Genomic DNA, 15540 nt, shown 5'->3' on the forward strand with positions numbered 1-15540 from the left:
CTTTCCTACATCTTATTGTTTTCCTCTGCATGGATGTAAACTGTTAAGTGTGCTGGAAGGGATGAAGTGTCCACTTGCTCTACCCCTTCATTTCATAGCTGGGGAAACTGAGGCAAGCTAAGCGGGTTACAGAAAGATGAAAGGTTAATTCACTTGTGAGAAACCAGGAATCTTACACACCTGCTTCATGTGGCATGAAATAAATAATCCAAAAAATATAGGCTTTGTATAAAAGTTTAAAAGCAGAAAGCCAAATTTTAGGCTGGGCGCAGTGGCTCAAGCCTGTAATCCCAGCACTTTGGGAGGCCGAGGCAGGTGGATCACTTGAGGTTAGGAGTTCAAGACTAGCCTGGCCAACATAGCAAAAACCCCGTCTCGACTAAAAAAAAAAAAATTAGCTGGGCATGGTGGCGCGTGCCTGTAATCCCAACTACCTGGGAGGCTGAGGCAGGAGAATCACCTGAACCCAGGAGGCAGAGGTTTCAGTGAGCCGAGATCATGCCACTGCACTCCAGCCTGGGGGACAGAGTGAGACTCCATCTCAAAAAACAGAATAAAAAAAAGACAAGTTTAAAGGTGGCTAAATTATTTGGAAGAGATGGTCCTTTCAAGAAAATTCCCATTAATTTCTAGCTGCCTGAGAAAAGCGATAACTTCACTACTTTGTAACTAGAAGACTCTCCTAAGCCTATTACTTTACCAGCTTGCTTGGAGGGAAATTATTAACACAGTGATCTTTGTACCACTTCAGGAAGCATTTAAATTCTGTTTATCACTTTAGTATCCCAGGTCCCCTGAGAGGGAGGTCACAGGGTTTGGAGTTTTGTTGACAAAGAAGTTCAGGATTAAATGACCATAATACAGTTTGATTCTGCAATAAAGTCAGAATTACAACCAGATACCCTCTTCCCACCCAGCTAACAGTTGTCTGCCATAGAGCTATGTGTTTACATAGAGAATATATGGGAATTTCTATATTAAACTCAAACGTGAACCAGACTTTACAGTGGACCTAAGGCACTCTCTGGACCGTCAACTGACCTCTGAGGGAGGCCACATATTTGAAAAAAAATCAGTTTTTCCAAATCACTGAGATACCTTTGCACATGAAGCAAAATTACAGTCTGTCACAGAGTTGCATGTTTACTAAACATGCCCATGGGAAAATATGTTGAATGGACTGATTCTTAGAATTCTTTGGTGTTGGAAGGGACCTTAGAGATATTCTAACCCTATAATCCTGTAAGTTTAATGAATGTGTTATACTTTAAAAAAAAAAGTTTACAGAAGAAACTTTAATAAGCCCAAGAATCACCTAGGAAGCTTACTTTTTTTTTTTTTTTTTTTTTTTTTTGAGACGGAATCTCGCTCTTTCGCCCAGGCCAGGCTGCTGTGGCGTGATCTCGGCTCACTGCAAGCTCCACCTCCCTGGTTCACGCCATTCTCCTGCCTCAGCTTCCTGAATAGCTGGGACTACAGGCACCCGCCACCACGCCCGGATAATTTTTTGTATTTTTAGTAGGGGCAGGGTTTCACCGTGTTAGCCAGGATGGTCTTGATCTCCTGACCTCGTGATCTGCCGGCCTTGGCCTCCCAAAGTGCTGGGATTACAGGCGTGAGCCACCACGCCTGGCCGGAAGCTTACTTTTAAAAACATTCTGAGGCTGGACACTATGGCTCACTCCTGTAATCCTAGCACTTTGGGAAGTGGAGGAGGGAGGATCACTTGAGCCCAGAAGTTCGAGACTAGCCTGGGCAACATGATGAAACCCCATCTCTACAAAAAAAAAAAATACAAAAATTAACTGGGCATGATGGTGAGCACCTGTGGTCCCAGTTACTGGGGAGGCTGAGGTGAAAGGATTGCTTGAGCCCGGGAGGTTGAGGCTGCACTGAGCTCTGACTGTGCCACTACACTCCGGCCTGGGTGATAGAGTGAGACCCTGTCTCAAAACAAAAAAATAAAATTTCTGAGATCATCCCCAAAAATGCTGATTCAGTAAGACTATGTTGGGGCCCAGGAATGTGTATTTTTATAAGAAACCCCACCGCCAACCCTAGGTGATTTTGAAACAAATGGTCTGAGGACTAGGCTTTGAGAAACAGTCTAGTTTCCCATTGTTTTTCATTGTTGTTTGTTTGTTTGTTTGTTTGTTTGTTTTTGAGACAGTCTCGCTCTGTTGCCCAGGCTGGAGGTGCCGTGGCGCGATCTCGACTCACGGCAACCTCCGCCTCCCAGGTTCAAGCCATTCTCCTACCTCAGCCCCTCAAGTAGCTGGGACTACAGATGCCCACCACCATGCCCAGCTAATTTTTGTTATTATCAGTAGAGATGGGGTTTCACCATGTTGGCCAGGATGATCTCCATCTCTTGACCTCGTGATCCACCTGCCTCGTCCTCCCAAAGTGCTGGGATTAGAGGCGTGAGCCACTGCTACTGGCCTTCTCATTGTCTTATAGCTGTATAAACAAAGGCCTAGAGGGATGATATGAATTGCCCATGATCAAGTGGATAGTTAGGAACAGAAAGGTAGAGATAGAACCCAAATATTTTTTTCTCACTTACGAGGCACTGTTTATTCTATCACACCATCTTGAACATGATACATAAATGTCAGTTTGATTCCATATTTTGAGTTTCAGCCCAGGGCTTGTGGACTAGTAAGAGCTCTTGAGCTCCATCTGTCAGTCAAATTCTGCAGTATATGTAAAGGACCAGCACAGAGGCATTTATCATGAGGATTGATCCAGTTGTTATGAATTTGGGGGTTTCTTTATAACACTTAACAGGACTCAACCCTATCAGGAATTTCAGTACTCAATTACTCTTTTCAATTTTACTATAGTTACAGAAAGTCAAGACTCATAAACACTTCCCTGAATCAAGCAGCAGCACTGTTTCCCAGAGAATATGACTTTCTCTCTGTTGTACATTTCAGGATCGTTCTCCAGGGCAGGGTATGATCTAGGTAATCACATGGGAAAATTGTCTCCAAGGATAAGAACCTGTATCAATGTTGTAACTAATAAAAGCCACATGGCTGGGCCAGTAGTTTTTCACCCAACTTTCCAAATACAGAATATGGGTAAAACAGTAAAACATATTTTATTTCACACAATATGGGATATTTTATAAAAACCTACAAAAGAGGCCTGAAATTGTACATTTGTTCCATTTCCATTTATCCTAGCATCAAGACCATCAATAAACTAGCTCTTCCACTGGGTAGATAACCCAGGTCTCCTGAGGGTCCCTTCATCAGCTCACTGGCAGGGTATACACTGCCTAACTCAACACAGCCATGCGAGGCTCCCACAGTGTAGGCACTACTCTTATGCAAGGCTTTAGTAACAGTTAAAGATACTCTCTGTTGCAAAACTGAGTCCCAGGTAAGTTATAAAACGTTCCAGATTACCTTTGACCTGGTTTTGCAAGGTTGCAGAAAACAAAATTTGACCTCCTTTAAACAATGTGATAAAGGAAAAATGCTTACAATAGCTTTCAAAAATATTGCATCATTAAAAGCTATAAGACTGAAGAACTTCATTACAAAACAAGTGTTGGGACCAAGGATAACCCTTGTCATCCAAACTTTTGAGATTAGATTGAGAAAAACTGATGGTACAACAATTTGATTTTCAAAGCAAGAAACATTTAGAGGGAGGAGAGGCCACCAAAAAAAAAAAAAAAAGGAGAGAGAGTCCCAACAAGGTACAAGCTAGTTTTCTCTGTGCCATGATGGGATGGAGAAATAAGATGAATTAGTTCAAGGATCTTACAGTCCAGTAAAAGAACTAAACCGCATGCACAAATGATTGTGACACCCAGTAGAATGTGCTCAGTGTGCTGGGAGGGCTACAAGTGCTGCAGGAAAACAAGCAGAGGTCAAGAGAAGGCTTTTTGGGGCACTGACTATTGAGCTGAACAAATGCAGTGGGGGAGGGGGCATTCCAGGCAAAAGGAGCACCAGAGGCAGTTCTGATCAGGTGCTTAAAACAGTGAGATGCTTCATTAAAGGATATTGCGATGTAAGAACAATGGCAGTCTGGACCTAATAATAGTCATTTTTTTAAGCTGTTTCCTGAAGGGACAGGAAATGGAAAAAATAGGGACTCAGAGAGTCCAAAGAATGGCCAACAGCAGTGGCCTCACTTCCACAGAAGGAAATATTTAATTTTCTAATGCCAACTTTAGTCCAGAATCAAGGCACAGAAATAATCTAATCTACACTCTTCCCAACTCTTTGGACTGCCCAAGGAGTAACTTAAATGAGTTGTTTCAATGCACTTTGTCTCAAAGGCTTAGAATTCTCTCATATATCTTTGAATAATTCCCTAGTAATGTCTAGCACATAGTAGGCAGGCAGTCAATAAGTGTCTGTTGGGCAGGGCACGGTGGCTCATGCCTGTAATCCCAACACTTTGGGAGGCCAAGATGGGCAGATCACCTGAGTTCAGGAGTTGGAGACCAGCCTGGCCAACATGGCGAAACCCTGTCTCTATTAAAAATACAAAAATTAGTCGGGCATGGTGGCGGGCATCCGTAATCCCAGCTACTCCGGAGGCTGAGGCACAAGAATCACTTGAACCTGGGAGGTGGAGGTTGCAGTGAGCCAAGATCACACTACTGCATTCCAGCCGGGATGACAGAGTGAGACTGTCTAGATAGGTAGATAGATAGATAGATAAATAGATAGATAGATAGATAGATAGATAGATAGATAGATAGATAGATGCATACAAACATACATACATACATACATACATAATGGATAGATAATGTCTGTTGAATTAATGGGTTCCATTATTCTGGTTGATTGTGACAGGCTTTCTCTCCTGAAGCTTAAGGACCACTGGGTTGGGCATGAGGGCCTGAAAAATGATGTAACAAAATCAGATGTGAAAAAATCCATTTAAACTCAATCTACCCCAGGCCCAGCCTTACCCTACCACAGGCTTACTTACCTCTCAAAGGTCCTCCTAATCAATGACTCTGTCCAGCTCTCTGGCAGTACATGGTAGGACAGCGGTGCTCTCCTTGGGTCTCAGTGCAGCAAGTAAGCAGGTGGTGAGCACAGGATGGGCTGGAAAGGACCTGTGAGTAGGGTGGTGGAGGACCCTGTACAAGGACAGAAACCCAGACACCAAATGATTAATATATCCAAGGGCTGGGATTCCCAGCCTAGTAGCCCAAGGAAAGATAGCTTAAAGATATTCTCTAAGATTTTTCTTCTCTCCCTGCTCTTAACTAAAGCTTGCAAAGGAGGTGATTGTACATCTCCATCCAAGAACAAAACTAGCACTTTGCTGGCATATATGGGAATGCACTTTATTTTCTTCAGAAACAGGGACTGAAGAGGTAAAAACAAACTCTGAATCAGGTGTTGTTATTGAATCTGAAAGAGAAGGATAGAGTTCAGATTATTCTATATAATAGGTGCTAGTATTTGAAAAGGACCTTCCCACAGCCTCTGAGAAAAGGGAAGTAGATCATTGGTAGAAAGATGACATGGTTGCTTACAGATATCAAATGCTAACAATTATGTAAGGCCTTATGTGACCTGGTAACTCATGATAAGGAATTACCTTTGATTCCAGGGCTATTTAGAAAGCAAGAGTTCATATAAGCAAGAACTTTAACTTGGAGAAATAAAAATTAACATCAAGGAGATTACTACTTAATTACCTAAATGTAAAATGAGTATGTATTTCCTTGTTAAATTTTTGCTTACTCCTGGTGGAACTTAAACATTTTTATGACCTCCGGGTGATTTGTGTGGGGAAGAAGGAGGAGCACATGCATGTCTCTCTCTCTATATATAGTATTATAATGTGCATCATCTTGCTGTACAAAATACTGTCATTCCAAACTGCCAATGATTGAGATGCAAAATTACAGTTACAAATGGCATTTTAGGAACTATTTTTAGGTTGTCTTCAAGGACTATGTTATTAATAGCACCAGTTTGCATTTCAGTTGCTTTTCTGAATGAAGAAAAGAGATAAATCTTCAAGCTTGACTTGCTCATCAACCAACCATTTCATGATCAGAGTACATTTCCTTTCACTACCTTCCTTTTGGACCTTACCTTCTTGGTAAATATTTCTGGGGTGTTTTGTTTAATCCAGTCAGTTACTCATTCACTGAGGCAGTCTAGTAGCAGAACAAGCTACTAGACTGAATGTTTTCCTATTGGAAAGCTGCAGGTTTAGCCTGAGCACCTGACACCTTAGTAATGAAGATTGATTCAGCTCACCACCTACCCAATCTCTCTGCCTTCTAGCAATGGACTTGTTTATTCAGAAAATTCTTCCTTTTTCCTTAAAAAAAAAAAAAAAGGCAGGGGCAGACTTAATATGCTACCTTAATTTTTTAAAATTTTCTTTGAACAGACTTTAAAGGGGATGGGGGAGTAGTGTTGTAATCACTTGATTTTTCAACACCCAAGTGTGTGCTCTTTCTCTGTGGGTTTATTTCAGTCTACAACTTAAAACTAGACTGATGAAGAACCGACTGATGGAGCTGCTCTACACCCTTCAGGCAACTTTCTGTGACCACTGTTTCTCATACTCAAACTTTTAATAAAGCTTGAGGTTTTGCTCTTCAAGAAAAGATCATCCATGTTACTCATTAAATGCAGATCCACATGATTGAACAAGCACTGAGCAGAAGGCCAAGCAGCCAGCCTCTTCCAAGAAATAAGGCACTTTGCTAGAACTTAATCTGAATGGCTCATACAAGGAGGTGGGAACCTCAGAAGCCCAGAATGATTCTTTTCATTTTGCATGTGACCCTCCATACACTGACTTGGTGAGCCTCTTCTCATTTGTAGAAATAAGATTACTGGTATCTATATCACAGAGTTGTTATGAAAATTATGTGAAGTGATGTATGTAAAACTATACCAACAGTTCTATGCAAATGAAAATTTTAAATGTTTGTTATTAGTAAAGAGAGAGGTGGGTGCATGCTCTGATGTGCCACCCAGATCCCTGCTTTAGGACTGACGGACTCACTCTTCAGCTGCTGGGAGCTCTCAGCTGAGACCTCTCCCAGGACTTCTCCTTGGTTGAAGAGAGACACTTTGCCCAAGGTTAAGCACCACCACCCCAGCCTGAGTCCATTGGACTGGTCAATGGGCAGGTGTGAAGGCACAGCCTACCTCCCTTAATTTAGGAGGTAACTCTGAAGGGCATCCCAGGTCCAGAGTCCCCTTAGGATTAGAGGATCTGCTGAGGGAGACTTCTGTTGTGACTGCATTACAGTTCAATGTCTCCCTCTATCCAGTCTGCTTCCCTTGCAGCCTCACAGGTCCCATTCCCAAGAGCACTCCTGCATGCACATCTCGGAGTCTCAGAGAACCCAACCTTGACAAATAGAATTATAGGAGCTTACATGTTCTGATTGATAGATGAGCAGACTTTACAATAAAAATTATAAAAGGTAGATAGATATTTTATGCTTGCATTAGAAAATATGTAGGCCAACCAGGCAGTGGCTCATGCCTGTAATCCCAACACTTTGGGAGGCCAAGGTGGGCGGATCACTTGAGGTTGGGAGTTCAAGACCAGCCTGGCCAAATTGGTGAAACCCCATCTCTACTAAAAATACAAACATTAGCCGGGCATGGTGACAGCCGCCTGTAATCCCAGCTACTCGGGAGGCTGAGGCAGGAGAGCCGCTTGAACCCAGGAGGCAGAGATTGCAGTGAGTTGAGATCACGCCATTGCACTCCAGCCTGGATGACAGAGTGAGACTCCATCTCAAAAAAAAAAAAAAGAAAAAAGAAAATATGTAGGCCCAAACATATCTACAAAAGACTCAAGAAAATAAAAGACATTAAATATCAACTAGATAGTTGACAGGTAGATTCACATCCAGAATTTCCTTTCAAATTTCTTTTTTCTTTCTACATCTTTAAGGGAAGAAAGGCTTCCATAGTGTGTCCAGATATGGTTGGCAAGCCGCTGGAAACTCAAGTCTGCCCAAATAACAAATCTACACCAACAGCCTAGAGGAGATGGAAGGAGATGGTGTAGGGCAGGGGCAATGGCCCTCCCTTCAGATTAGATGACTTGCATAAAAGGTCAGGAATCACAAACTACATGCCTGCAGAGGGCCAGCTGGGAACATGAATGAAGTACACATGAGGTGAAGTTGCTTGGACTGTGATCAAGCATGACACCAGCTTAATTACATTTCCTTTTATTATTAATTTTTCATGCTAATACCTGAGTACATTTTTCTTTTTTTTTAAATTTTTTTTTTGAGACAGGGTCCCACTCTGTTGCCCAGGCTGGAGTGCAGTGGCATAATCATGGCTCACTGCAGCCTTGACCTCCCAGGCTCAGGTGATCCTCCCACCTCAGCCTCCAGAGTAGCTGGGACTACAGGTGTGCGCCACCACATCCGGCTAATATTTCTTTGTGTGTGTATTTTTTTGTAGAGGTGTTTTGCCATGTTGCCCAGGCTAGCTGTAAGTACATTTTTCTTAAAAAAAAAAAAAAGAAGAAGAAGTACAGAAAAACTTAAAGTCCCTTTTGACCTACCATTTTCCCCTCATTAAGATGATTACTTGGAGGTGAAAAATAAGAAAAAAAAAAGACTGTTGCTAAGTCCTATCTACTCTACCTACCAGATATCTCTTAAGTACATTCACTTCTCTCTACCCACACTGCTGCCTACACAGTGTAGACAAGCATCATCTAACAGCTGGTCTCCCTACCTCTTCTCCCAACCTTATTCCCCTCCAACTCTACATTCCAGTCAGCTTTAACCTCTTTTAGTTACTCAGGCCCCAGGCTGCGTTGGCTCTGGGCCTTTGCATAAGCCGTTCCACTGCCCAGACTCAGGCTTAGTCAGTCCCAGCTGATCTTCATCTCCACCGTCTGCTCATCTTTCAGGTCTCAGTTTACAGGGCACTTCTTCTAGGTCGTCTTTCTGCCCCCCACCACCTGCTCCCCAAATACCTTCTCCTTCCCCTGTTGTGACACCTGTGGCAATTTATTTTGATTTTTGTTTGTTTGTTTCTCCTCTATTAGACCTGGGCTCTATGAAAACAGGGAGAGCGTTTTGCTCACTGTCATATCCAGCATGTAGAGACCTGCCTGGCACACAGGGAACACTCTTTAAATAGATGTTGAATAAATGTTGGGAGGGAGGGAATGAGAATGGATCCAGGTAACTTATGAACGGATTGTTTGACTATGGACCCTGAGTCTCATGACAGGAGGAAAGAAAGGAGATTTCACAATTCTTTAGCAGTAGGAGTTGTTGTTTTAAAATTTGCCTCTGTGGGCCCTTACTTGTAAGCAAGGCATACTTGTATCTCAGAAATTATTTCATCTTACATTATGTTTCATTAAAGGTTTATCAACTGCCAGATCTGAATCCTTTAAGCAGCTTTACCTTATTCCTCTGTGTCTTCCACACTAATATCATATTTTGTGCAAAATTTTTTCAATTATAAACATTTATTGAGCACTTATCTAGTAGTTCTGGGGGTACAAAGATGATTTGATTATTATCTTAATTTCAAAGATCTCCCTGTCTAATAGAGGAGAAAATGAATTAAACCACATCCACCAGGCATGGTGGCTCACACCTGTAATCCCAGCATTTTGAAAGGCTGAGGTGGGAGGATCACTTGAGCTCACAAGTTTCAGATCAGCCTGGGCAACGTAGCGGGACATCATCTCTACAAAAAGTTAGCTGGGCATGGTACTCCTGTAGTCCCAGTTACTTGAGAGGCTGAAATGGGAAAATCACTTGAGCCCAGGAGGTTGACGCTGCAGTAAGCCATGATCACGCCACTGCACTCCAGCCTGGGAGACAGAGCAGGACCCTGTCTCTAAAGAAAAATTAAAAAATTGAACCCTATCATACTGTGTATAAGCGCCCTGATAATTGTAAATACGGGCTCCTATGGGAGCTGTAGAAGGGAGCAGCTAACTTTGCAGAGGGAGGGAAGATAACAGAAAAGAAGTGCTACCTACACTGAGTCTTGAAGGATAAGCAGGAGTTTTCCAGGTGACCAGGGGGTGAGAGACCATGAAACAACCTGGGCAAAAGTAATGAGACGTGAGCATACAGGTACCTTCAGGGATTTTCCATAGATCAATGTGGTTAGAGGAAAGAGGGCAAGAGGTAGAGAGTAGGAGATGACACAGAAAGCACGCAGGAGTGGGACCGGGAGGCACCTCCGGTCCTCCCGAATAAGGAGAGTGGATTCTATCACAAGGAATGAACAGCCCTGAAGGATCTTAAACAGGGTGGCAACAAGAAATTGGATGAGAGTGAAGCTGATAAATTAGAAGCAGGAAGAGACTCAAGGGCAGGACATTGGTCAGGAGGCTATAGCAATAATCTAGGTAGGAAATAATGAGGACATGAGCCAAGGCAGTGGCACAGGAGTGGATGCTACCACTCCCGTTTCTACAACAGTCATATTTATGGTAACCTTTCTGGAGTGCTGAAGGATTAGAGAGCAACCAGACAAAATTTTTTAAAAAATGTAAAGGAGGGGAATAAAGATTCTTGGGGCAAAAGAAAAAAAAAGAACTGTTCAAGAAAGTAAGTACAATTATAGTACTTTACTTGGCTCCGTGGTGAATATTTTCATAGTCACATTTATGTTGATTCTGATTATTGGTTTTCAGCTTCTAGAGCAAATCCATAAAGCTGGGAAGACAGAATAATGGTATCAGAATAAATATAAATGCTATTACCCTAGACAATGTAAAGGGAAGATAATAACTGTCAGAAATGAACAGGGTGAAATGGAAGTAGGGATCAAAATTGATAGGCCAAGAACTAGCAGGAAATGCATATTTTTTGGTGATGGAAAGGTAATTGCCAGAAGAAACAGCTTTTAAAAAATTGACAGTGGTGGGCCAGGTGCTGTAGCTGATGCCTGTAATCCCAGCACTTTGGGAGGCAGAGGCGGGCGGATCACGAGGTCAGGAGATCGAGACCATCCTGGCTAACACAGTGAAACCCCGTCTCTACTAAAAATATGAAAAAAAAAAAAAAAACAAAAACAAACAAATTAGCCAGGTGTGGTGGCAGGTGCCTGTAGTCCCAGCTACTCGGGAGGCTGAGGCAGGAGAATGCTGTGAACCCGGGAGGCGGAGCTTGCAGTGAGCCGAGATCGCGCCACTGCACTCCAGCCTGGGTGACAAAGTGAGACTCTGTCTCAAAATAAATAAATAAAATAAATAAAAAATTGACAATGATTTCCCCTAGGCATTAGCTTTAGTTGTGAGGAAGGCCTGGGTGAGGACTTGTTTATTTTCATTGTAAACACTTTTGTACTATTTGATTTATTGTTACCAGGTGCATGAGTCTTTTGATTAAAATATTTTTTTAAATTTTAAATGCATCTATCCCGGTGATATTTCTTGTCTTTATGGAGATATCATACACAAACATCTGAAAAACAAAGCATATCAGATGAATTAGGTGTAGCCTCCCCAAGGTAATACCCTGGGACATTTAGTCACCTTCCTACCCAGCACTTTGGGAGGCCGAGGCGGGCGGATCCCGAGGTCAGGAGATTGAGACCATCCTGGCTAACACTGTGAAACCCCGTCTCTACTAAAAATACAAAAAATTAACTGGGCATGGTGGCGGGCGCCTGTGGTCCCAGCTACCGGGAGGCTGAGGCAGGAGAATGGCATGAACCCGGGAGGCGGAGGTTGCAGTGAGCCAAGATCGCGCCACTGCACCCCAGCCTGGGCGACAGAGCCAGACTCTGTCTCAAAAAAAAAAAAAAAAAAAAAAAAATATATATATATATATATATATATATATATATATATATATATATATATGTATGTACATTCACTTCCGTTATCACAATTCAAGACAAGTAGGCTTAAAAGCAGTCTCACTTTACGGCTTAAAGGCACAAAATCCAAGTAGCAAGCATGAAATGTGGTTTGCATATTAAATCGGTGCCTTTAACATTTTTGACCTTAACCCAGTAAGAAATACTTTTGTGCGTGACCCAGTACCCACACACCCACATAACTGAAACAAAACTTTTAAAAATGAACAGCCCTGTTCATCTATTAGGAATAATTCCTAAAACAGTGTTATAGGAATACTGCTATCTGGAAGAAGCAATATTAAGAGTAGTGTGTACTAGGCATTTTTCAAGGAGCTCTATAACATTTATTGATAAGATTCTGCTACCACTCTTGAGATGAGTACTATTTTTATTCCATTTTAGAGATTCAGAAAATGATGCTTAGAGAGGTTAAGAACTTCTCAAGATAAGCGGTAGAACTGTCAGTAGAACTGTTACCTTTTACTATGCTAAGATGTGCTTCAAAATTTCTATTTCCTTAAGTATTTTTCATTTTTTTAAATATCGCTCAGTTTAAATGATTTTAACAATCCACTACTGTAATTATGACCCACAGGTTGGGAAACACTGCTCTAAATTAATCACTCCTTTTTTTTCCCTCAGATTAGAAAACAGGCTTTTGAAATTTAGAGCTTATTTCTCAGATCAGTTTAACCTTCCTAGGAAATTACTTGTTACTGATGCATAAGAAAAAATTGTTACATAAAGTTAGCTTCTATCATCTTTGTTAATTAGCACGGCTCCCTTCTTTTCATTTCTCTTCTCCTTCCTTAAAATTTTCTCTTTTTTTCATCTTTAGTCCTGTGTGGCACATATTAGGAATAGCCAAATTTATTTCTGGAGTATATTTAGATATACATCAGTTACACACGGATATTTCTTGGGTTTTGCCCATATGTCTATTGGTTTGCACTTGCCACAAGAAGTACAGATTTCAGCCAACCATCTGCTATGCTTGTGAAACCATCAAAACCCAACCTTCCCTCAAATATTGGAATCCTGTGATTTTTTTTTTCAAATGTAGTAAATTTCATGTTTAAAATGCATAATAGGGCTGGGTGCAGTGGCTCATGCCTGTAATCCCCACACTTTGGGAGGCCAAAATGGGAGAATTGCTTGAGGCCAGGAGTTCAAGACCAGCCTGGTCAACATAGACCCCATCTCCATTAAAATAATAATAATAATATAAAATGCATAACGATAAGCATCATTTGTCATGCCCACACATTTAAGCAAAAAATTATGCTGAAAATAAAATTATGATGCTTGTTGAAGCACTAATAGAACTTTAATAGACTGATTTAGTTTGTTTTGATATTTTTCTTATTAAATTAAGAACTACAAGCAGCTGTCGAAGAGATACTGCCAAGCCTTAAAAAAGATGATGTGTCCATCTATTATGTGAGCAGAACTTCTAACACAGATGGGATTGACTCTTTCCTGGACAAAGTGGATGAAGTATCAACTGAACCTATCCCAGAGTCATGGAGGTCTGAAGTCACTTTTTCCACTCCTGCCTTATACATTTATACTTCTGGAACCACAGGTAAAAATAAAGGGGGGATTCTCCAAAAAAATTAATCTGAAGGAGTTAAATGTTGACACAGGTTTTCAAATCTCTTTCTTTGGCAAAACGTATTGGGTAACTAATACTTCAGGAGATTTAGTTATTTGCCTGCGGGAACTGATCTTATTTCATAGCATGTGATCCCATTTGCGTTTCTCCAAGCTATGCATATTTTCCGCCAGTTGGTATAGAACAGATAAAGAGGTTAACCAAGAACTACAGAAGTAGTTATGATGATGAATGAGATTTGGCACTGAATGGGTAGTTGGAATTTTTTTTCATGCTTGTTGTATTTTGATTATATTACATCCAGAGTCCATATAGACTGTATAATTGATTATAAATGGAACACAGGAGAAGACCAGTGAACAATGAGGAGGTTCTATTTATATAAATGTTTTAACCGTTATCTTCCCATGCAACACTGATTTGGAGCTGTTTGGTGCTGTGGATGTGGGGTGGCTGTAGCATAAGACCTAAAATACTGTATTTCATCAAATCTAGGATGCCTTCAACTGTAAGCTGCCCCATTATGAGCCACTAAGAAGAAACACTGCCAATTAACAATGTTATGGGAACACTGCTGTATGGAAGAAGCAATATTAAGGGTAGCATGTGTACTAGGCATTCTTCAAGGAGCTTTACAACATTTGTTGATAAGATTCTGCCCCCACTCTTGACATCGGTACTCTTTTTACTTCCATTTTAGAGATTCAGAAAATGATGCTTAGAGAGGTTAAGAACTTCCCAAGGTAAGCATTAGAACTGTCAGGATTCACCTTGCAGGCTGATTCCACAGCTCATACAATTGACAGCTCTACCCCAGTACCTTCTTGTTTATTCGTGTGATAGATATTTAGTGTCTGCCTACTACAGGCCAGGAAGACCAAAATGTAATAATATGAAGCCTGAGGGATATATTTAAAAGAAGGACAGGAAGCCAGCCCCAGCATGCCAATTATTATTATTAATATTGGAAAATTGAATCTATGAGTCTTTTACCTCTGTTGATTAAAATTTTAATTTAATTTAAGCAGGTAATACAGGTCTTCTCCTTGTTAAATAATCAATAGACCAGGATAAAATTTCCTTGAGCCTTTTATCTCAGCTGCAGCTGACAGGAACTGTCTCCTTCACCTCGACAGGCCCTCAGCACCCACCTGAGCTCACAGTTCCTGGACCTGAGTTTAACCTGATTGTTGACTTCACTTCATACAGTCACTTTTGCTAAGTATTTAAGTAAATGAGAGGAAGCCAGGAATGACATATTAAAGCTGGTGCCCAAAACATAATGTCTATCTTTTTTTTTTTATTTTTATTGCCAGGCCAACAGAAAGGTGAGATGGCACAATTAACCAATTGCTTCTGCTGCATGCAGACACTCCCTTAACATATGGGACTTTTATCATCATTTCTTAATAGAATGGTAAAATTAAATTGTAAATGTTTATAACTTTGTTACAATGCATGTTTTCACAGTCAAATAGAAAACCCCTTTTATTGGGAGGCCGAGGCAGGCAGATCACGAGGTCAGGAGATCAAGACCATGCTGGCTAACATGGTGAAACCCCATCTCTACTAAAAGTACAAAAAATTAGCCAGGTGTGGTAGCGGGCACCTGTAGTCCCAGCTACTCAGGAGGCTGAAGCAGGAGAATGGCATGCATGAACCAGGGAGGCGGAGCTTGCAGTGAGCCGAGATTGCGCCACTGCACTCCAGCCTGGGCGACAGAGCGAGACTCTGTCTTAAAAAAAAAAAAAAAGAAAGAAAAAAAAAGAAAACCCCTTTTAGGGAGAAAAAAGAGAATGAGCATCCTCTGATTTAATCTCGTAAGTCAGAATTTATATTTAATTGGAAGACAATTAGAAGGGTGTTTATTTTACTTTTTTCATTTTCTCTGAATCAAATATTTGCTAGGCCAAGCACAGTGGCTCACATCTACAATCTCAGAACTTTGGGAGGCCAAGGCAGGAGGATTACTTGAGCCCAGGAGTTTGAGACCAGGCTGGGCAACATAGCGAGACCACATCTTTACAAAAACATTAAAAAATTAGCTGGCATAGTGGTACACCTTGTAGTCCTAGCTACTTGGGAGACTGAGGT

The 15540-nt window shown here is 41.3% G+C and overlaps 1 protein-coding gene across 2 annotated transcripts in view; it reads left to right on the forward strand.

The window, feature by feature from the left end:
- Positions 1–15540, forward strand: part of SLC27A2 (solute carrier family 27 member 2) — a 54190-nt gene that overhangs the window by 2098 nt on the left and 36552 nt on the right. For both annotated transcript variants that reach the window (NM_003645.4, NM_001159629.2), the window contains exon 2: positions 13207–13416. In NM_003645.4, the coding sequence (NP_003636.2) occupies positions 13207–13416 (210 nt within the window). The remainder of the gene's footprint in view (positions 1–13206; positions 13417–15540) is intronic.

The sequence above is a fragment of the Homo sapiens genome, chromosome 15 (genome assembly GCF_000001405.40).
Source record: "Homo sapiens chromosome 15, GRCh38.p14 Primary Assembly".
In the NCBI taxonomy this organism is placed as follows: Eukaryota; Metazoa; Chordata; class Mammalia; order Primates; family Hominidae; genus Homo; species Homo sapiens.